Below are 22,498 nucleotides of genomic sequence, written 5' to 3' on the forward strand. Positions count from 1 at the left end.
GGGCTGGGATTATAGGTGTGAGCCACCGTGCCTGGCCTATTTTTATTTTTTGTTTTGAGACAGAATCTCACTCTGTTGCCCAGGCTGGAGTGCAGTGGCCTAATCTCTGCTCACTGTAACCTCTGCCTCCTGGGTTCAGGTGATTCTTCTGTCTCAGCCTCTCCAGTAGCTTGGATTACAGGCTCCCACCACCACGCCCGGCCAATTTTTATATTTTTAGTAGAGACGGGGTTTTGCCATGTTGGCCAGTCTGGTCTTGAACTCCTGACCTCAGGTGATCTGCCCACCTCGGCCTCCCAAAGTGCTGGGATTACAGGCGTGAGCCACCGCACCCGGCTTCCAACTGTGGTTTTTTTTTTGAGACAGAGTCTCTGGCTCCTAGGCTGACGTGCAGTGGCGCCATCTCGGCTTACTATAACTTCCGCCTCCCAGGTTCAAGCGATTCTCCTGCCTCAGCCAGCTGGGTTTACAGCCCTGCGCCACCACACCCAGGTAATTTTTGTATTTTTAGTAGAGACAGGGTTTCACCATGTTGGTCAGAGTGGTCTCAAACTCCTGACCTCGTGATCCTCCCACCTCGGCCTCCCAAAGTGCTAGGATTAGAGGCGTGAGCCACCATGCCCGGCACCAACTGTGGTTTTAAACAAGAAAACTGACCTGTCCTTGTTGAAGTTGTACAGTGTGCTTTCTGAGGATTTTGAAGGCAAAGACAAATGAAATACTAAGGTAGACTTTGGGATTTAGCTTGGATTACCAGGAAGACTGGGGGAAAGATTTTTTGAAACTTTGAGGAGAGAATATGAGTGGATGAGGCTTTAGACAGTTGGAGATACTAGAAGATTTAAAGCAGATTCTCAACTGGGGATGATTTTGCCCCCAAGGAAACATTTAGCAGTGGACATTTCTGATGGTCAGACTGGGGTAGTGCTACTGGTATTTAATGAGTAGAGGCTAGGGATGCTGCTAAAGCATTCTGCAGTGCACAGGACAGCCCTAACTACGATGAATGAACAGGTCCAGAATGTCAGTAGTACAAGGTTGACAAACCCTGATGTAAAGGGAAATACCCAGTAGATAGGTTGCATGTTTCCGTCCTGATTATCTGCTATTCATTTTATAATTTTATTTTTTAAAGTTTTATTTATTTATTTACTTTTTTTTTGAGACAGTCAATCTGTTGCCGAGGCTGGAATGTAGTGGTGCGATCTCGGCTCACTTAAACCTCTGCCTCTTGGGTTCAAGTGATTCTCCTGCCTCAGCCTCCTGAGTAGCTGGGATTACAGGTATGCGTCGCCACGCCCAGCTAATTTTTATATTTTTAGTGGAGACAGGATTTCGCCACGTTGACTAGGCTGGTCTCGAACTTCTGACCTCAGGTGATCCACCTGCTTCAGCCTCTCAAAGTGCTGGGATTACAAGTGTGAGCCACCTCACCTGGCCTTGAATTTTAGATAAATCTAACACAAAACATCTCAAAAGCAGTCTCACATTGTGTTTCCCACATCATGCTTTGCAAAAGTAAGCATGAAGCCCTTTTTCTGTTGTTGAATTTTCACAAAACTAACTTCATGGTCATGACAATCCTCAACCCAGTTGCATATTTTCTTTACTCCTTTTAACATACGCAAAGATCAACTTATTTCGGTAACATAAGCATTCACTGTCTAGACATCAGTCATTAAGCTACAGCAGATAAGATTTTCTTTTTTTTTTTTCCCCCTGAGACGGAGTTTCACTTTTGTTGCCCAGGCTGGAGTGCAATGGCGCGATCTCGTCTCACCACAACCTCCGCCTTCTGGGTTCAAGCGATTCTCCTGCCTCAGCCTCCCGAGTAGCTGGGATTACAGGTATGCACCACCCTGCCCAGCTAATTTTGTATTTTTAGTAGAGAAAAAGTTTCAGCATGTTGGTCAGGATGGTCTCGATCTCTTGACCTCGTTCCACCTGCCTCGGCCTCCAAAAGTGTTGGGATTACAAGCGTGAGCCACCGCGCCCAGCACAGATTTCCTTTTGATACTCTCTTTGAAGGATAGGGAAATGAGATAAAAGTTGTGGTGCTGTTGTGAGCAAATGTTAAAATATTTTTAATTGCCCTGTAGCTGAAGACCGCATGATCACTCTGAAAAACTGCCTCATGAGCTGGTTGTGGCCCTCAGCCTTAATTCATCTCTTTAGATCCTGGATCACAGACGTTAGCAACTTTTTTGTTTGTCAAGGCAGTAATCTGCGTAAATGACTCGTTTCTGAGAGTGACCTCAAGATAATATATATTCATAAATGTAGTGATCGTTTTATAGTAGTTTTATAGTTTGCAAAGTACTTCTTTGTCTCTTGTGTCTTTTTGTCATTTTAGTCTTTTGATCATCACCATCTTAGTCTTTTGATCATCACCATTCTTGGGGTTGCCAGAACTTGTGGACAGTGCTACATGTTGGGTAATCCCAAAAGTTGCCATTCACATATCTTAATCTATGTGAATAAAGATGCCCTTGGAATTCAATGGTGCACACCCTGTAGAACTATGAACTGATGTTTCTACCCACTACTGAAGTCTAGATTCTAGATAGCTCATCCTATCATATACTTTCATTGCATTCTGTGTTTACCTTTGTTGCCTTTGTGTAACTATAATTAACGTTACTAGTGTGTTTGTTTAATATCTGATTTTTTCACCAGGCCAGAAACCATTTTTGGGGGATAAGGTAAAGGAAAAGTCACACTGCATATTTGAAAGTAGGAGATAAAAACCCAATCTCATGGATAATAGCACACATTGATTGAATGTGTACTGTGTGCTTGGTACTGGCATTTTCGATATACTCACTAATTTAATTCTCAAGAACCCTTTGAAATGGATTCTTTGACTCCCATTTTAAAGTTTTGGAAACAGATCCAAAGTGCAGTTAAGTGTCTCAGATTATCCAGTTAAGGGACAGAGCCAGGATTCAAAGTAAACAGTCTGGTGATTCCAGAGCATACTTAAGTTATACTGCCTCTTCATCAACTTTGTTGGGACACAGTTTATAAATGTTTCACTGATGAATTGAGGGTGTTTCCCAAGTCATCTGTTCTCATTCAGGAGATTCATTCACTTAAACAAATGTTTGTTGAGTGCTTATGTTGTACTAAGCATTTTATTTGGGTCTTCTAAATGCTGTGGTTTCAGATAATGCTGAGTGCTTTGAAGAAATTACAAGGATGATGAGATACTTGTAGGATGGAGAATTCCTTGAGATTGAGTGATCAGTGAAAGGCTTCTTGAGAAGGTGGCATTTTGTACTGAGACCTGAGTGATGAACAGCCAATCTTGTGATGTTCAGGGGTTCTGGGGACCAGGTCTGGGGCCCTAGGTATAGGGAACAGGCAATGCAAAGTCCTAAGGTAGGAATGAGAAAATAATACTAAGCATTTAACCATGTTCAGATACCATGTAGGGCGCTCTGGCTTACAGTAATGGATAAAACAGGTATGGTCCCTCTGTCATGGAGCTTCTGGTCTGGTGGAAAAGTCAGACATTAAACAAATACTAGTAATGTTAATTACAGTTACACAAAGGGCTACAAAGGTAAACATAGGCTGCAGTAACAGTATATGATAGAGTGAGCTAATCTAGACTTCAGTAGTAGATAGAAACATTAGAGAACACTTTCCTGAGAGAGGCTTTGAAGTTGAGACCTAAAGGGTGACTAGGAGGTAACCAGGCAAAGATGCAGAGTGATTAGCACATGCAGAAACTCTTAAGGTTGGAAAGAATTTGACATGTTTGAGAAACCTGCCAACCAGCTAAGCCAACCAACTAAACAAAACACCAAAAAAGCCATTGTAACTGAAGAAACATAAGTGAAGGAGAGAGTTAAAATTCTTGACAAGGTAGACAGGTCAGATCAAATAGGGCATTATCCTGAAGCCATTGGGAAGGCAGAAGTTCAGCAGAGTAGTAATGCGTTTGGACCAATGTCAGTGGTTGCAATGTAGAGAAAGGGTCAGGGAGAGGGCAAGAATAGATTTAGGGAGATTAATTAGGAGGCTATTATATTGGTTCAGGTAAGACAATGATGTGGTATGGTTGAGTGCTGACAGAACTAGAGAGGAGATTGATTCTATGATTGAGATTCTATGATTGATTCTATGAGAACTATATATGAAATAGAATCATGGGACTTTTCATTGAATGTTTTGAGGGTCAGTGTAAAGGAGGTAAATATAAGTATGACTCCCAAGTTTTCCTAGTGCATGGCTTATAATACAGTTCTTTTATTGAAATAGGGTACACTGAAGGAAGAGCAGGTTTGGGGACTGAGCAAAGGAGCATAAGTTCAGTTTTGAGAAAACTTGAAAAGGTTAAATGAGAAGTGCTTGTGAAATATCACAGTAGAACTGTTGAGTAGGTAATTGGGTATGATTCTGGGTCTAAGGAAGGACTTACTGGCATATGATTGGGTCTTTTTTTGAGAAGGGGTCTCAGCTCTGTCGCCCAGGCTGGAGTGCAGTGGTGCGATCTCGGCTCACTGCAACCTCTGCCTCCCAGGTTCAAGTGATTCTTCTGCCTCAGCCTCCTGAGTAGCTGGGACTGCAGGCATGTACCACCATGCCCGGCTAATTTTTTGTATTTTAGTAGAGACGGGGTTTCACCATGTTGGCCAGGATAATCTCTATCTCCTGACCTTGTGATTCGCCTGCCTCAGCCTCCCAAAGTGCTGGGATTACAGGCGTGAACCACCGCGCCTGGCCAAACTATAGTATTATTATAGGACCACCGTCACATATACAGTTGTTGAGTGAAATGCCGTTAAGTGGCACAAGTCTGTATTTGACCGTGAGTCTCTTTTTACCTAGTAAGAGTAGACTTCTGTAAGTCAAGGAATATGCTTTATTCAGGTGCTCAAAACTTGTCTATTGAATTGAACAAAAATGTGTTATGTAGTCCTAAAAATACATAAAATGTAGAGAACACAGTAAGTGAATTTCAACAATGAAAAGAACCTTAGATTGCTAATCAGGTTGCATAGGTTAGTTATCTAGCTTTATTTTATTCACCTACAAGGTTCTTAGTTCTAATAATTTAAACCAGTTGTTTTCAAAGTGTGCTCCCCAGACCACATTACCTGGGAACTAGTTAGAAAGGGAATTCTTGGGCTGGGCACGGTGGCTCACACCTGTAATCCCAGCACTTTGGGAGGCTGAGGTGGGCAGATCAGCAGAGGTCAGGAGTTCGAGACCAGCCTGACCAACATGGCAAAATCCCATGTCTACCAAAAACACAAAAATTAACCAGGTGTGGTGGTGTGCACCTGTAATCCAACCTACTAGGGAAGCTGAGGCAGAAGAATTGCTTGAACCTGGGAGGTGGAGGTTACAGCGAGCCAAGATTGTGCCACTACATTCTTGGATCCTACCCCAAACGTACTGAATCAGAAAGTCTGGCAGTGGGGACTCAACAGCCTGTGTTTCAACTAGTTCTCCAGGTGATTCTGATAGATGGTAAAGTTTGAGAACCATTGGAATTGTTGTAGCAGTTTTTCTGTTTGTTGGAAACAAAAAATTAACTAGAGGTAGTTACCTTAATTTCACACTTCACAGCTTAAAGTTATTTTAAAATCGTTTCTTCATATTTCCTGCCAGTTGAATTTGCTGACATTTTTCTAAACCACTAATGGTATCTTAGGCACAGTATCCTTGAATCACAGGCAGTAGTATTAAGTTTCTGAAGACTGCTTCTCCCCCCACCATGCTCCTTAAGTCTTATTTAAATAACCTTCAGTGAGTACAGAAGGGGCCCATTACTACGCCCTTCCTGGTGACACCAGTTAACCAAGCCAGGGCAAGTAAGTGTACCCTGCAGCCCTGCCAGCCAAAGATTGCTACTTTTTTTTTTTTTCCTTTTTTCTTTTTTCTTTTGAGACGGAGTCTCGCTTTGTCCCCCAGGCTGGAGTGCAGTGGCATGATCTCAGCTCATTGCAACCTCCGCCTCCCAGGTTCAAATGATTCTCCTGCCTGAGCCTCCCAAGTAGCTGGGATTACAGGCACCCACCACCACGCCCAGCACATTTTTGTATTTTTGGTAGAGATGGGTTTTCTCCGTGTTGGCCAGGCTGGTCTTGAACTCCTGACCTCTGGTGATTCGCCCACCTCGGCCCCCCAAAGTGCTAGGATTACAGGCGTGAGCCACTGCACCCAGCCTCTTTTTGTTTTTTAGAGATGGATCTGTCTACGTTGGTTGCCCAGGCTGGTCTTGAACTCCTAGGCTCAAGTGATCCTTCTGCCTCAGCCTCTCAAAGTACTAGTATTACAGGCATGAGCCACCACGACTGGCCCAAAGGTTGCAAGGTTGCTGCTGCTATTTTTTTTTTTAATTTATTTTTTGAGACAGAGTCTCGCTCTGTCACTCAGTCTGGAGTGCGCTGGCACGATCTTGGCTCACTGCAACCTTTGCCTCCCGGGTTCAAGTGATTCTTCTGCCTCAGGTCCTGAGTAGCTGGGATTAGAGGCATGTGCTACCATGCCTGGCTATTTTTGTATTTTTTTAGTAGAGTCCGGGTTTCACTGTGTTGCACTGGCTGGTCTCCTGACCTCAACTGATGTGTGCATCTTGGCCTTCCACAGTGTTGGAACTATAGGCGTGAGCCACCGCACCTGGCCTACTCCTGTGTTCTTAGCTTGAGTTCCTGGTTGATGGGTGGTGCCACCAATTGAGAGAGAATACCATGGTTTGTGGATTGGGTACGGTGGCTTACACCTATAATCCCAACACTTTGGGAGGCTAAGGCAGGAGGAGTTCAAGGCTTGAGCTCAGGAGTTGGAGACTAACCTGGGCAACATGGCGAAATCCCGTCTCTCCAAAAAATACAAAAATTAGCTGGCTGTCATGGCGTGTACCTCTAGTCCCAGGTAATTGGGAGGCTGAGGTGGAAGGATCACTTGAGCCTGGAAGGTCAAGGCTGCAGTGAGCTTTGATTACGCCACTGCACTCCATCCTGGGTGACAGAGTGAGATCTTGTCTCAAAAAAAAAATATCATGGTTTTATACAAAGAATATAGGTCGGAAGACCACCCTGAGCAACATAGCAAGACTGTCTCAAGAAAACCTTAAAAGAAGTTACAAGTAGGCCTGGTGCGATGGTTCACTCCTGTAATCCCAGCACTTTGGGAGGTGGAAGCGGGTGGATCACCTGAGGTCAGGAGTTTGAGACCAGCCTGGCCAACATGGTGAAACCCTGCCTCTACTAAAAATACAAAAAATTAGCCAGGCGTTGTGGCAGGCGCCTGTAATCCCAGCTACTTGGGAGGCTGGAGCAGGAGAGTTGCTTGAACCCGTGAGGCGGAGGTTGCAGTGAGCCAAGATTGTGCCATTGCACTCCAGCCTGGCAAAAAGAGTGAAACTTTGTCTCAAAAAAAAAAAGTTACAAGTATACTTTTGATTTATTTATATTAACCTTTCTGTCTCTAGTAGCATATTTAATTCACCAGTTATTTATTGGGTCTACTTTATGAAGAACCTTACCAGAGATTCTGGGTTAACGTCATGAGGTATCACCATAGATTTGGATCACTTTTTATTAGGTAGAACTAGTTTAAAAAACGCTATATTTTAATTACTGCATGGATTACTTAATTTTTCTCCAGACCTCTTACCTCATGCTTGCTCAAGTCAAAGGTTGATAAATACTACTCATTTAGCTTTGTGGGCACTTTCTCAGTTTATCCCCCTCTCTTTGGAGTGTCACTCCACGTTGTCTCATCGATGAAAATATTAGGAACTCTCCTAAACATTGTATTTTGGGGAACACAAGCATCTGAAGATACCCATCCATTTACTTCTGTCCCTTATTATTTAACCATTTCTTCATATGCGAAACAATTTTTCCATATTGTTTTGGGGGTACATGTGATACTTTATTAGATGCATAGATTGTAATGACCAAGTCAGAGTATTTGGGGCATCTTATCACCTTGAATATTTAATAGGAACATTTCAGGTCCTCCTCTCAAGCTATTTTGAAATATACAATTCATTGTTATTGGCCGGGCGCGGTGGCTCACGCCTGTAATCCCAGCACTTTGGGAGGCCAAGGCGGGCGGATCATGAGGTCAGAAGATCGAGACCATCCTGGCTAACATGGTGAAACCCCGTCTCTACTAAAAAATACAAAAAATAAGCCAGGTGTGGTGGCAGGTACCTGTAGTCCCAGCTGCTCGGGAGGCTAAGGCAGGAGAATGGCGTGAACCCGGGAGGCAGAGCTTGCAGTGAGCTGAGATCGTGCCACTGTATTCCAGCCTGGGCGACAGAATGAGACTCGTTCCAAAAAAAAAAAAAAAAAATATATATATATATATATATATATAAAATTCATTGTTACTAATTATAGTCACCCTACTTACGATTGAGCTTCAGAACTTATTCCTTCTAACTGTATGTTCATGCCCATTAACCATCCTCTCTTTATGCACCCCTTTGCCCCTCATACACACCCTTCCCAGCCTCTGGTGTCCATCATTCTGTTCTCTGTTTATGAGATCAGCTTTTTAGTTCTTTAATATTTGAGTGAGAACACGTGATACTTCTCTTTCTGTGCCTGGTTTATTTCATGTTATTTAATATTCTCCAATTCCATCCATGTTCCGAAAATGACAGAATTTCATTCTTTTTTATGGATGAATGGTATTTCTTTCATTCATTCATTCATTCATTTTTGAGACGGAGTCTTGCTGTGTCGTCCAGGCTGGAGTGCAGTGGCACGATCTCCGCTCACTGCAACCTCCACTTCCCAGGTTCAAATGATTCTCCTGGCTCAGCCTCCTGAGTAATGGTTTACAGGTGTGCATCACCACGCCCGGCTAATTTCTGCATTTTTAGTAGAGGTGGGGTTTGACCATGTTGGTCAGGCTGGTCTCAAACTCTTGACCTCAGGTGATCCACCCGCCTTGGCCTCCCAAAGTGCTGGGATTACAGGCATGAGCCACCGCGCCCACTGTATATCTAGTTTTTTTAGGGCATTAAAAATAAGGCTGGGTGTGGTGGCTCATGCCTGTAATCCCAGCACTTTGGGAGGCCAAGGCAGGCGGATCACCTGAGGTCAGGAGTTCTAGACTAGCCTGGCCAAGATGGTGAAACCCTGCCTCTACTAAAAATACAGAAATTAGCCGGGTGTGGTGGCAGGTGCCTGTAATCCCAGCTACTGGTGAAGTTGGCCGGGGGGTTGGGGTTGGGGTTGGGGTTGGGGTTGGGGTTGGGGGGGCGTCAAGGCAAGAGAATCGCTTGAACCTGGGAAGCGGAGGTTGCAGTGAGCCGAGATTGCACCATCGCACTCCAGACTGGGGGACAAGCGTGAGACTCCATCTCAAAAAAAAAAGTTAGAAATAAAAGTACAAGGAGCTCAATTATGTATTTGTTTTTCTGTGTTTCCTATTAAATCCTTATTCCTAGAAGTACAGTAATTAAAATTAGAAACATTTAAAAAACTTACTATGGAAAGATTATATGAAGTAAATAGTGGTGTGATTAACACCCATATACCCATTGCCAAGCTTCAACAATTATCAAAACTTGGAAATCTTCTTTTATCTCTATCTTCTACTCCCTCTCAGTTGTCTTGAATTAAATCCCAGATAGTATTACTTCATCTGTAAACACTTCAGTTATATATATATATCTATTCTTTTTTTTTTTTTTTTTTGAGATGGAATCTTGCTCTTGTCGCACAGGCTGGAGTGCAATGACATGATCTCAGCTCACTGCAACCTCTGCCTCCCAGGTTCAAGTGATTCTCTTGCGTCAGCATCCCGAGTTGCTGGGATGACAGGCATACACCAGTACACTCGGCTAATTTTTGTATTTTTAGTAGAGACGGGGTTGGCTGGTCTTGAACTCGTGACCTCAGGTGATCCTCCCGCCTCCGCCTCCCAAGGTGTTGGGATTACAGCCGTGAGCCACTGCATCTGGCCTGTCTGTTCATTTCATAAACATCTGAGAGGGTCTTTGCTACAGGACTTCAGGAGCACTAGCATCGGTATGAAATAGTGTTGGTTCAGTTTCTGAAAATTTCTTGGGAAGAAGCACATGCAGAAAAGTCCGTAAAACATAAATTTATATGGTGTAGTGAATAAGCATGAAGCAAATACCTGTGTAACTACTACTCAGTCAAGATTTGAAATTGCCACCACTTCAAAAGCTTCTTTACAACCTTCCTAATCACTACTTTTTCTTACTCAGTGGAATTATATTTTAGTTTCGCTTTTGTCTGTCTGTCTTTCTCTTTTTATTTATTTATTTATTTATTTATTTTTTTGAGATAGGGTCTCACTCCATCTCCCAGGCTGGAGTGCAATGACGCGATCTTGGCTCACTGCAACCTCTGCCTCCTGGGTTCTAGAGATTCTCCTGCCTCAGCCTCCTGAGTAGCTGGGATTACAGGCGTGTGCCACCATGCCCAACTAATTTCTGTATTTTTAGTACAGACAGGGTTTTCTCATGTTGGCCAAGCTGGCTCAAACTCTTTACTTCAAGTGATCCGCCTGCGTCGGCCTCCCAAAGTGCTGGGTTTACAGGCATGAGCCACTGTGCCTGGCCTTAAAAAAAACTATTTTTTTTTTTTTGTGAGACGGAGTCTCCCTCTGTCGCCCAGACTGGCGTGCAGTGGTGCAATCTCGGCTCACTGCAACCTCCACCTCCTGGGTTCAAGCGATTCTCCTGCCTCAAACCTCCTGAGTAGCTGGGATTATAGGTGCTCTCCACCACTCCTGGCTATTTTTGTATTTTTTTTAGTAGAGTTGGGGTTTTACCATGTTGCCCAGGCTGGTCTCAAACTCCTGATGTCACGTGATCTGCCTACCTCCCAAAGTGTTGGGATTACTGGGGTGAGCCATTGTACCTGGCCCTTGGCCTTAAATTTTTTTTTTTTTTTTTTCAAGACAGAGTCTCACTCTTGTTGCCCAGGCTGGAGTGCAGTGGGGTGACCTCTGCTCACTGCACCCTCCACCTCCTGGGTTCAACTGATTCTCCTGCCTCAGCCTCTCAAGTAGCTGGGATTACAGGCATGCACCACCATGCCTGGCTAATTTTGTATTTTTAGTAGAGTTGGGGTTTCTCCATGTTGGTCAGGCTGGTCTTGAACTCCTGACCTCAGGTGATCCACCCACCTCAGCCTTCCAAAGTGCTGGGATTACAGGTGTGAGCCACCGTGCCCGGCCCCAACATTTTTTTTAATATAAATTTTTTAGAGACAAGGTCTTGCTCTGTTAGCTCATCCAGGCTGGAGTACAGTGGAACAGTAATAGCTCACTGCATCCACAGTCTCCTGGGCTCAGGTGATCTGCCTCAGCCTCCTGAGTAACTGGGAGTACCGGCACGCACCACGAAGCCCAGCTAATATTTGGTATTTTTTTTGTAGTGATGGGTTTCTCCATGTTACCCAGGTTGGTCTTGAACTCCTGGCCTCAAGTGATCCTCCTGCTTCAGCCTCCCAAAGTGCTGGGATTATAGGTGTGAGCCATCGTGCCTGGATTTTTATTTTTATTTATATTTTTGAGACAGAGTCTCGCTCTGTCATCCAGGCTGGAGTGCCAGTGGCGCAATCTCAGCTAACTGCCGACTTTGCCTCCCGGGTCATGTGATTCTCCTGCCTCAGCCTCTCAAGTTGCTGGGTGTAGAGGCCCCCACCATCATGCCCAACTACTTTTTTTGTATTTTTAGTAGAGACAGGGTTTCACCATGTTGGCCAGGCGGGTCTTGAACTCCTGACCTCAGGTGATCTGCCCAGCTTGGCCTCCCAAAGTGCTAAGATTACAGGTGTGAGCCACCGTGCCCGACCATTCACATGGTTTTTAAAATTTGATCCTTGAGGCTAATCGCTGTTGCTCATGTCTGTAATCCCAGCACTTTGGGAGGCTGAGGCGGGCAGATCACCTGAGGTCAGGAGTTCGAGACCAGTCTGGCCAACATGGTGAAACCCCGTCTACAAAAAACACACACACACAAAATTAGCCAGGTGTAGTTGCGTGTGCCTGTAATCCCAGCTACTTGGGATGCTGAGGCAGGAGAATTGCTTGAACCCGGGAGGTGTAGGTGCCAGTGAGCTGAGATTGTGCCACTTCACTCCAGCCTTCCAGAGTGAGACTTCATTTTAAGAAAAAAAGATAAAAATTGATCTTTGAGCCATCCCTTTGAGGGGGAATATGGTAGCACCCCATTTTTTTTTTCATTAGGAAATAAAGGCTCATAGAGGCAAAATTACTTACCCTAACGTTATACTACTAAGCAGTAGAACAAAGACTGGACACCTGGTATTCTTTGTTCAGGTTGAATTTCTTTCCATTATACCATATTCTCCCTTTCTCTTTTCTCATTACTTGAAAATGATACCATACTCGGCTACTTTCTCTTTTCTTAATGTTTTATGCCCTCTTATTTACTTTTGGACCTTTGCGTATGCTGTTCTTTCTGAATCATACATTTTCCTTCCTCTCTAACTCTGCCTTTCAGGTTTCAGGTTTCAGCTTAAGTGTTACATCCTTTGGGAATTTTTTTTTTTTTAATTCCTGCTTTTCATGAACTGTATCCGGGAGATTTTCAACATGTTTCTCTGTTTCTGGTATATAAAATGCCTGTTCTTCCCGTTTTTTGTTTTGTTTTTTTTTGTTTTTTTTTTTTGAGACAGAGTCTATCTCTGTTGCCAGGCTGGAGTGCAGTGGCGCGATCTCAGCTCACTGCAACCTCCACCTCCCGGGTTCAAGCGATTCTCCTGTCTCAGCCTCCTGAGTAGCTGGGATTTCAGGCGCATACCACCACACCCAGCTAATTTTTTTTCTATTTTTAGTAGAGACAGGGTTTCACCATGTTGGCCAGGATGGTCTCAATCTCCTGACCTCCTGATCTGCCTGCCTCAGCCTCCCAAAGTGCTGGGATTACAGGCATGAGCCACCGCACCTGGCCCCCATTTCTTTAACATTTGATTTTTCTGCTGTCATAAGAAATAATACACCGATTGTCTTTTTACTTACTTTTTATAGATCCTGAGGGCAAAAATCATGGCAGTCTTATTTATCAGAGCATTGACAGTGTTTGGCATATGGTAGAAGTTAAAACATTTAATGAATTCAGTTGAATATAATTTTCTATCTACTGTGACAGATTCTCTCTCTTTGTCTGTCTTCCTTTTTATTGTTTGAGACAGGGTCTCACTTTGTTATCCACGCTGGAGTGCAGTGGCATAATCTAGGTTCACTGCAACCTCCACCTCCCAGACTTAAGCAATCCTCCTGCCTCAGCCCCACAAGTACCAGGGACTACAGGTGCTTACCACTACACCTGGCTAATTTTTTGTAATTTTTGTTGAGACAGGGTTTTGATGTGTTGCCCAGATTGGTCTTGAACTTCTGACCTCAGGTGATCTGCATGCCTCAGACTCCCAAAGTGCTGGTGCATGAGCCACCGTGCCTGGAACATTCTTTAATATTGGTTATAAACTCTAATGCCATGCTTTCCTCCCTCACTTTCGTGGATTTTATCTATTTATTATTCCTTAACTGGAATACAAATAGGTTTCATAAAAGTTTATCAAAGGCACATAGTTTACTGATCTCATTTGAGATCATGTTAATGTTTGAAATTCCCTTGAACCTCACTGAAGACTAAGGTTAATTTGTAGCAATAGTTAAAATTTGCTTAGTCAGATATAAATAGCCAGAAAACCTAACAGGATGGAAGTTGAAACAGAGCTAAGATTTATGAAAGTGTCTGCCATGTAAGTCCGATGTATGTCATCAACTTAAAAATGAACACTGTTGTTGACAGTTTGGTGTAAGAGAATAGAAATACGCCTGTTTGTATTTCATCCAGGCTTGGCCAGATCTTTTGTGCCACTCTGGGAATGGTCAGGTTAAAAGATATGACTTCCACTGGGCCGGGTGCGGTGGCTCAAGCCTGTAATCCCAGCACTTTGGGAGGCCGAGGCGGGCCAGTCATGAGGTCAGGAGATTGAGACCATCCTGGCTAACACGGTGAAACCCCGTCTCTACTAAAAATAAAGAAAATTAGCCGGGTGTGGTGGCGGGTGCCTGTAGTCCCAGCTACTCAGGAGGTTAAGGCAGGAGAATGGCATGAACCTGGGAGGTGGAGCTTGCAGTGAGCCGAGATCGCGCCACTGCACTCCAGCCTGGGCGACAGAGCGAGACTCCGTCTTAAAAAAAAAAAAAAGATGCAACTTTCACTGGATTTCAAGAGCCAGTGAACCTAGTTAAACCTTATTAAAGCAGGAAGAAGTGAGAATTTCAAGGATCAAGGGCTTTCTCTGGAGACTGAGTAGTTCCCTTTCATTAGAGATTCTTTTTTTTTTTGAGATGGAGTCTTGCAGTGTCGCCTGAGCTGGAGTGCAGTGGTGCAATCTCAGCTCACTGCAACTGCCGCCTCCTGGGTTCAAGCGATTCTCCAGCCTCAACCTTCCAAGTAGCTGCGATTACAGGCGCCTGCCACCACACCCAGCTAATTTTTTGTATTTTTAGTAGAGACGAGGTTTTACCATGTTGGCCAGGCTGTTCTGGAACTCCTGACCTCGTGATTCACCTGCCTCGACTTCCCAAAGTGCGGGGATTATAGGTGTGAGCTGCCACGCCCGGCCCTCATTAGAGAGTCTTATAGCAAATGTCTCTAGCTGATCATCTAGTGGTAATGTAAATCAGCTAAGTACATACATATTGATTGATTGACTTAAAGTATTTACTAGATCGCTGATTTGTTACAAGCATTTGTTACTTTTGCATTCCTTTAAGAAAACTTTGGGGCTGGGTGCAGTGGCTCATACATGTGATCACAACACTTTGGTAGACCAAATTGGGAGGATCATTTTTGAACTCTGGGGTTTGAGACCAGCCTGGACAACATTGCAAGACCGCATCTCTATTAAAAAAAAAAATTTAGCTGGGCGTGGCGGTGGACACCTGTAGTCTTAGCTGCTTGGGAGGTCGAGGCCAAAGGGTCGCTTGACCCCCGGAGGTTGAGGCTGCAGTGAGCTGTGATTGCACCACTGCATTCCAGCCTAGACAACAGAGTGAGACCTAATTCAAAAAAGAAAGAAAATAAAATAAGGGTTTTTTCATGGGGTAAAACTCAAATAATAGGTATCAATCATATCTTTTTTCCCCCATCAGAAACAAGTAATCCGGCCGGGCGTGGTGGCTCATGCCTGTAATCCCAGCACTTTGGGAGGCCAAGGTGGGTGGATCACCTGAGGTCAGGAGTTTGAGACCAGCCTGGCTAACATGGTGAAACACAGTCTCTACTAAAAATACGAAAATGAACTGGGCGTGGTGGTGGGTGCCTGTAATCCCAGCTAATTGGGAGGCTGAGGCAGGAGAATCACTTGAACCCGGGAGGTGGAGGTTGCAGTGAGCTGAGATCATGCCATTGCACTCCTGTCTGGGCTATAAGAGCAAAATTCCGTCTCAAAAACAAAACAAGACAGACAAAAAAGAAATAATCCACACCCTAAAGTGCGATTCAGCTGAAATTGTCTATGGTATTTTGCCTAGAATTAACCAAAAGAGCTGGGGTAGGGGCTGGTGGCGCATAGCTCAGCATTACAGATCTACTTAAATCTTGTAAACTATTTATAGGTTTGGGTTGTTATAACATGTTTAGCATGGTTAATAAGCCAATCAAGAAATATCCCAAAACGTTCATTTTTGCTTCCTTTACAGATGGTGGCAGATGAAAAAGCAGATTTTTTTCCCCTGAAGCTCTTTAATAATGGCAAAAGTTAAAAAGTGTTTTCTCTGTAGTCCTGAATTTACTGAATGTATTCCCTTCCTGAATAAATTGACTGTTCCCTTAGTGTAGGGCTATAACCTGGTTTTGGTGGAGTCCCTTCCAGGTTCTAACATTTGTGTGACCTTGAACAGGGTACTTCTTAACCTTTCTGAGTCTCAGGTTTATTCATTTCTAAAGTGCAGGTGGTACTGATACCTTTTAGGGTTGGTTGAGGATTTAATGGGATAATGAATGTAGACTGCTGTGCCAACAGTGAGCTTTCAATAAAAGGTATCTGTTGTAATTCTCAAAGCTTAATACGTTATTATATATAACAAGCCAGTTTTACGCCTTTTAAATCTGATTTTTTAGTTATATAGATAACATATATCTGTATTATTGTAGAAATTAAAATTTTACAGATAAGGCTAAAGAGCCCCTTAGCCACCTTAATCCTAACCCCTTCACCAGATGTAATCATTTTATTAGTTAATATATCCTTCCATGTCTTTTTCTTTGCTTTTATGCATACATACACATGCATTTTAATTTTATAGATGAAGAATAGAAAAGATAGTAATCTAATTTTATAAATATTAAATTACTAGGTATTAGAATCTTTTTTTTTTTTTTTTTGACAGTGTTTTCTCTTTTTTGCCTAGGCTGGAGTGCGATGATACGATCTCGGCTCACTGCAACCTCGGCCTCCCAGGTTCAAGTGATTCTCCTGCCTCAGCCACCCAAGTAGCTGGGATTACAGGCATGCGCCACCAGTCCCAGCTAATTTTGTATTTTTAGTAGAAGAGCGGGGTTTCACCATGTTGGCCAGGCAGGTCTTGAACTCCCGACCTCAGGTGACCTGCCCTCCTCAGCCTCCCAAAGTGCTGGGATTACAGGCGTGAGCCACTGCGCATGGCCTAGAATCTGTATTTTAGATACTCAGTAAACAAAAGATAGCAAAATTCAACAATTCGTTGTGTAATGACAGATCTTACACGAAATTACAGAATTCTTTACAACCCTAGACAAGTTTAATTAAAGGGAAGAAACTAAAAAGTAAGAAACAGCTACAGCTGTTTAGCCCGGAAATATGCATTTGTTTTTCTAGCCGATAAATAGATCAGAACTTAAGAAATTCACTGCCTCTCAGTTTACCTCAAATTTTACAACTAAGGGCCACAGGTATTATTTGTTAGTCTGACAAGTAAAAAATGATGTTTTCTTTTCTCAAAAATGTGAAAAATTTACCACCACCTTGTTGGGCCAAAGGAGAGGTTGGGGGAAGAGAAGAGTAATTGAAACTGCTTTCTGCATATCATTGATTCTCAAGTGTATTTAAATTATTTTTGTAGTAATCTATAGTATTTTTGGTTTTTGTTTGTTTACTATTAGTACACATTGGAAAGTGGATTCCAGGCCAATTAGGGAAGGAGATTGATTTTGAAATGATGTTAGTTCTCTGGAAACCACTTGTTTAAATAAGGGAATATCAAGAGGAAAGGGCTGGCCATAGTTACTAATCCTTTGAGAGGAGGGATCTAAGAGTTGGAGGATATGTCAGACATGATCTCTCTTCTCTGGGGAATTAGAGGTGAGTTGGAGAAAACTGTGGGAGAGAGGGTCAGCAGACAAGGTGAAAGATCACTTGAGTCTAGTAGTGTGAGACCAGCCTGGGCAACAGAGCAAGACCCCATCTCTACAAAAATAAAATTAAAATGCCAAGGTAAATGGTGTTAATTCTAAACATTTTGGAGGTGGGGGTGGGGTGGAGAATGGAGCATAGCATTCACCTCTTCTTTCATCCTAGTCTTCAGTCTAAACCTAGTGTTGAAGGCCAAAGGACAATACTCCCATACACAGTGTGAGTGGGAGGGAGTATGTAGTAAACCCCCCTTGCATGCAGTAGAGATGTGATATTCTCCTTTGCTTGGAGGATATCATGGTGGATAGTAGAAGCAGGGGTTCAGTTTAGTTTGTAAGTTATACCTTGGTAACTGTATGTTTGACCAATTATGCTGAAAATACAGAACTGTTTCAGCATACGTTGCTTTAGGAGATACACATACATATATTGAATCACTCTCTTGGTGGCTGATTTTTTCAGCTTTGGTTCTGCTGCTGCTTCCAACAGCCTAGAGTTGTGTTGTACGCTATGGTAGCCACTAGCCACAGGTTGCTAGGGAGCATGTGAAATGTGGCTACTATGAATTAAGATGTTGGTGTAAACTATACACACCACATATTTTATTTATTATTTTATTTTATTTTTAAATTTAATTTTATTATTTTATTTTGAGACAGAGTTTCACTCTTGTTGCCCAGGCTGGAGTGCAATGGTGCCATCTCTGCTCGCTGCACCTTCCGCCTCCCGAATAAGTGGGGTTACAGGTGTCTGCCATAATGCCTGGCTAATTTTTTGTATTTTTAGTAGAGACCGGGGTTTCACCATGTTGGCCAGGCTGGTCTTGAACTCCTGACCTCAGGTGATCTGCCCACCTCCACCTCCCAAAGTGCTGGGATTAACAGGTATAAGCCACTGGACCCGGCCTCAAATCCTGAAGACTTGGTATGAAAAAAGGATTAAAATAGCCCCATAATTTTTTACATTGACGATATATTGGAATGGTATTATTATTATTTCTTATTTTTTTATTTTTATAGAGACAGGGTTTCACTCTTACCCAGACTGGAGTGTAGTATGGCTTTATCTAGCTTACTATAGCCTTGAACTCCTGGGCTTAAGCAATTCTCTTACCTCAACCTCCTGCGTAGCTAGGACTATAGGCATGTACCACCACACCGGGCTAATTTTTTTAATTTTTGGTAGAGGCAAGGTTTTGTTACATTGCCCTGGCCTGAAATGGCATTATTGATTACATTTGAAGTGATTTACTGGGTTAAATAAAATATATTATTAAAATTAATTTCCCGCCGGGTGCAGTGGCTCACACCTGTTACACCAGCATCTTGGGAGGCCGAGGCAGGCAGATCACTTGAGCCCAGGAGTTGAAGAACCGCCTGGTCAACATAGTGAAACCCTGTGTCTATTAAAAATACCAAAAAGCCAGGCGTGGTGGTGTGCACCTGTGCTTCCAGCTACTTGGGAGGCTGAGGTGGGAGGATCACTTGAGCCCAGGAGGCGGAGGTTGCAGTGAGCCGAGATTGCACCACTGCACTCCAGCCTGGGTGATGGAGTGAGACCCTGTCTCAACAAAAAATTAATTTCCCTGGGTTGGGTGCAGTGGCTCACACTTGTTATTCCAAGTATTTTGCGAGGCTGAGGTTGGAGGGTCGTTTGAGACCAGCCTGGACAACAGAGCAAGAGACCTCATCTCTACAAAAAATAAAATAAAAATTAGCTGGGCATGGTGGTGCACATCTGTAGTCCTTGCTACTTGGGAGGCCGAGGTGGGAGGATCGCTTGAGCCTGGGAGGTCAAGGCTGCAGTGATCTGTGATCATGCCACTGCACTCTAGCTTCAGTGACAGAGTAAGACCCTGTTACAAAAAAAAAAAATCCCTTAAAAATTGGCTACCGGAAAAATTTAAATTACATATGTAGCTTACATTTTGTTTCTTTTGAGCTCCACTGGCCTGGAACAACCCATACCAGGGATAAGTACTTCTTTTATCTTGCTGTAGAATTTCATATGGATCATTCCATAGCAGATGTTTAATGATTTCAGTTCAGTAAGAATATTTAAGTTATTTAACTTTTGTAGAATCAGATTTTTTTTTTGCTAGCAAAACAAAAGCATTTTTAATTTTATATATCAGTGAGACTATAGGATTACAGTGCCAGAGTGTGTGTGTGTGTGTGTGTGTGTGTGTGTGTGTGTGTGTGTGTGTGTTTTCAGGAATTCCTCTTATAGTGTTCATGGTATGTCTTTTTTTTTTTGGAGACTGCGTTTCACTCTTTCTGCCCAGGCTAGAGTGAAATGGCACGATCTCAGCTCACTGCAACGTCTGCCTCCTGGGTTCAAACCATTCTCCTGCCATATTCTCCCAAGTAGCTGGGATTGCAGGCATGTGCCACCACGCCCAGCTAATTTTTGTATTTTTAATAGAGGCAGGGTTTCACTATGTTGGTCAGGCTGGTCTCGAATTCCTGACATTGGGTGATCGACCCGCCTCGGCCTCCCAAGTGCTGGGATTACAGGTGTGAGCCACTGCACCCGGCTGGTGTGTCTTAATATGCATGTTTACAAGGACGTGTAATTGGAAAGGTGATGCTTTTCTGTCCAAGAAAAGGTCCTGGAACCAGGTGTATTCCTCAACCCAGTTTTTAGACACCCTGGCTCCCAAAGAATGAGGGAAATTTGGTTTAATGTGTCATCAAACTTTGTATTCAGCTATCTAGAGCCATTTTCTGGATTCATGCAATACATTTTCCCCAAACCCTTTTTATTTTGAAAAAGCTCAAACACAGAAAAGTTGAAAGAATAGCGTAAAGAACATCTGGATGTGGTGCAGGGTCTCATGTTCATAATCCCAGCACTTCGGAAGGATTATTTCAGACCAACCTGGGCAACATAGTAAGACCCAATGTCTACAAAAATGTTTACGGATAAACCAGGCGTGGTGGTGAGGTAGTCCCAGCTACTCAGGAGGCTGAGGTGGGAGGATTGCTTGAGCCCAGGAGTTCAAGGCTGTAGTGAGCAATAATCACATCACTGCATTCCAGCCTTGAGTAACAGTGAGACCCTGTCTCAAAAAAAAAAAAAAAAACACCAAAAACAACCAACTGTGTATATCTTGCACTGATAATCCCCTTTTTTTATTTTTAATTGTCACATTTAAAATTTTCTGTTGTTTTTGGCTGAGTTATTTGAAAGTAATTTGCATACATCATGACACATTATTCCTAAATGTTTTAGCTGCCTCTCCTAAGAATAAGAACATGATCTTACCACAGATTTACGGTTATACTGAAGAAAATTCAAATTCCATAATGTCTAATATTTAGAATTTTCCAATGTCCTAAATAAAATTTTATAGCTCTCACTTGACTTCAGTCCACGTTTATGCATTATATTTGACTGTTGACTCTTTAGTCACTCAGTGTATTAATAGAATAGAGGTGAACTACAACCCATGTACCAAATCTGGCTCGTCATTTGATTTTGTACAGCCCATCCAATAAGAATGGTTTTTACGTCTTTTAATATATAATTGTTTTAAATTGAGGTAAAATTTGTGTAACAGAAAATTAACCATTGATCATTTAGAAGTGCACAATTCAGTGGTATTTAGTATATTCAAAATGTTTTGCAATCATCACCTCTGGCTTTCTGTCTCTATGGATTTACCTATTCTGGGTGTTTCTTTCTTTCTTTCTTTCTTTTTTAAGACAGAGTTTCACTCTTGTTGCCTAGGCTGGAGCGCAATGGCGTGATTTCAGCTCACTGCAGCCTCTGCCTCCTGGGTTCAGGCGATTCTCCTGCCTCAGCCTCCTGAGTAGCTGGGATTATAGGCACCTGTCACACACCTGGCTAATTTTTTCTTTTTTTTTTTTAGGTAGAGATGGGGTTTTGCCATGTTGGCCAGGCTAGTCTCGAACTCTTGGCCTCAGGTGATCCACCTGCCTTGGCCTCCCAAAGTGTTGGGATTACAGGCATGAACCACCATGCCCAGCCTGGGTGTTTCATGTAAATGGAATCATACAATATACTGTATGACCTTTTGTGTCTGGCTTTCACTTAGCATATGTTCGAGGTTCATCTGTGTTTTGGCATGTATCAGCATCTTATTTCTTTTTATGGCTGAATAATATTCCGTTGTATGGATATACCACATTTTGCTTATTCATTCAGCCACTGATGGACATTTGGGTTGTTTCTACCTTTTAGCTACTGTGAATAGTGCTGCTATCAGCATTTGTGTGTAAATATTTGAATACTTGTTTTTAGTTCTTTTGTTTTTTGTTTGTTTTGAGACAGTCTCAGTCTGTCACTCAGGTTGGAGTGCAGTGGTGCCATCTTGGCTCACTGCAACCTCTGCCTCCCAGGCTCATGCAGTTCTCATGCCTCAGCCTCCTGAGTAGCTGGGGTTGCAGGTGCCTGCCACCACACCCAGCTAATTTTTTGTATGTTTTGTAGAGATGGGGTTTTGCTATGTTGGCCAGGCTGGTCTCGAACTCCTGACCTCAAGCAGTCTGCCTGCTACAGGCATAAGCCACTGCGCCCCAGCCTAGCAGTTTATACATTTATTATTGTTTTAAGAGTCAGAGTCTCACCCTGTTGCCCAGGCTGGAGTGCAAGCAGTGGACTGATCATGGTTCATTGCAGCGTCATACTCCTAGGCTCAAGCGATTATCCTGTCTCAGCCTCCTGCGTATCTGGGGCTGTAGGCAGGTACCACCTTGGCTAAGTTTTAAATTGTTTTGGAGGCAAGGTCTTGCTGTGTTGCCCAAGCTGGTTTCGAACTCTTGGCCTAAAATGACCCTCCTGCCTCAGCCTCTCAGGTTGCTGGGATTACAGGAGTGAGCCACTGCACTGGCTTGGTTTTTATTTTTATTTTTATTTATTTTTTGAAACGGAGTTTTGTTGTTGTTGCCCAGGCTGGAGTGCAATGGCTTGATCTTGGCTCACTGCAACCTCTGTCTCCCGGGTTCAAGCAATTCTCCTGCCTCAGCCTCCTAAGTAGCTGTGATTACAGGCATGTGCCACCATACCCAGCTAATTTTGTATTTTTAGTATAGACGGGGTTTCTCCATGTTGGTCAGGCTGGTTTGGAACTCCCGACCTCAGGTGATCCGCCT

At 43.2% G+C, this 22,498-nt stretch overlaps 1 protein-coding gene and 1 long non-coding RNA gene across 6 annotated transcripts in view; both read left to right on the forward strand.

Annotated features, from left to right (window-relative positions):
• Nucleotides 1-22,498, forward strand: part of KDM2A (lysine demethylase 2A) — a 138,820-nt gene that overhangs the window by 14,102 nt on the left and 102,220 nt on the right. The gene's annotated exons all lie outside the window — the stretch shown is intronic.
• LOC124902695 (uncharacterized) lies at nucleotides 1,247-16,051 on the forward strand. Of its 3 annotated transcripts, none has more exons than XR_007062740.1 (2): nucleotides 1,247-1,283; nucleotides 15,691-16,051. It is a non-coding gene; the product is annotated as an uncharacterized LOC124902695 (long non-coding RNA). The 3 variants fall into 3 exon arrangements; XR_007062739.1 differs by lacking the exon at nucleotides 1,247-1,283 and adding an exon at nucleotides 1,809-1,847; XR_007062738.1 differs by lacking the exon at nucleotides 1,247-1,283 and adding an exon at nucleotides 9,849-10,007.

This window comes from Homo sapiens, chromosome 11 (genome assembly GCF_000001405.40).
Source record: "Homo sapiens chromosome 11, GRCh38.p14 Primary Assembly".
Lineage (NCBI taxonomy): Eukaryota > Metazoa > Chordata > Mammalia > Primates > Hominidae > Homo > Homo sapiens.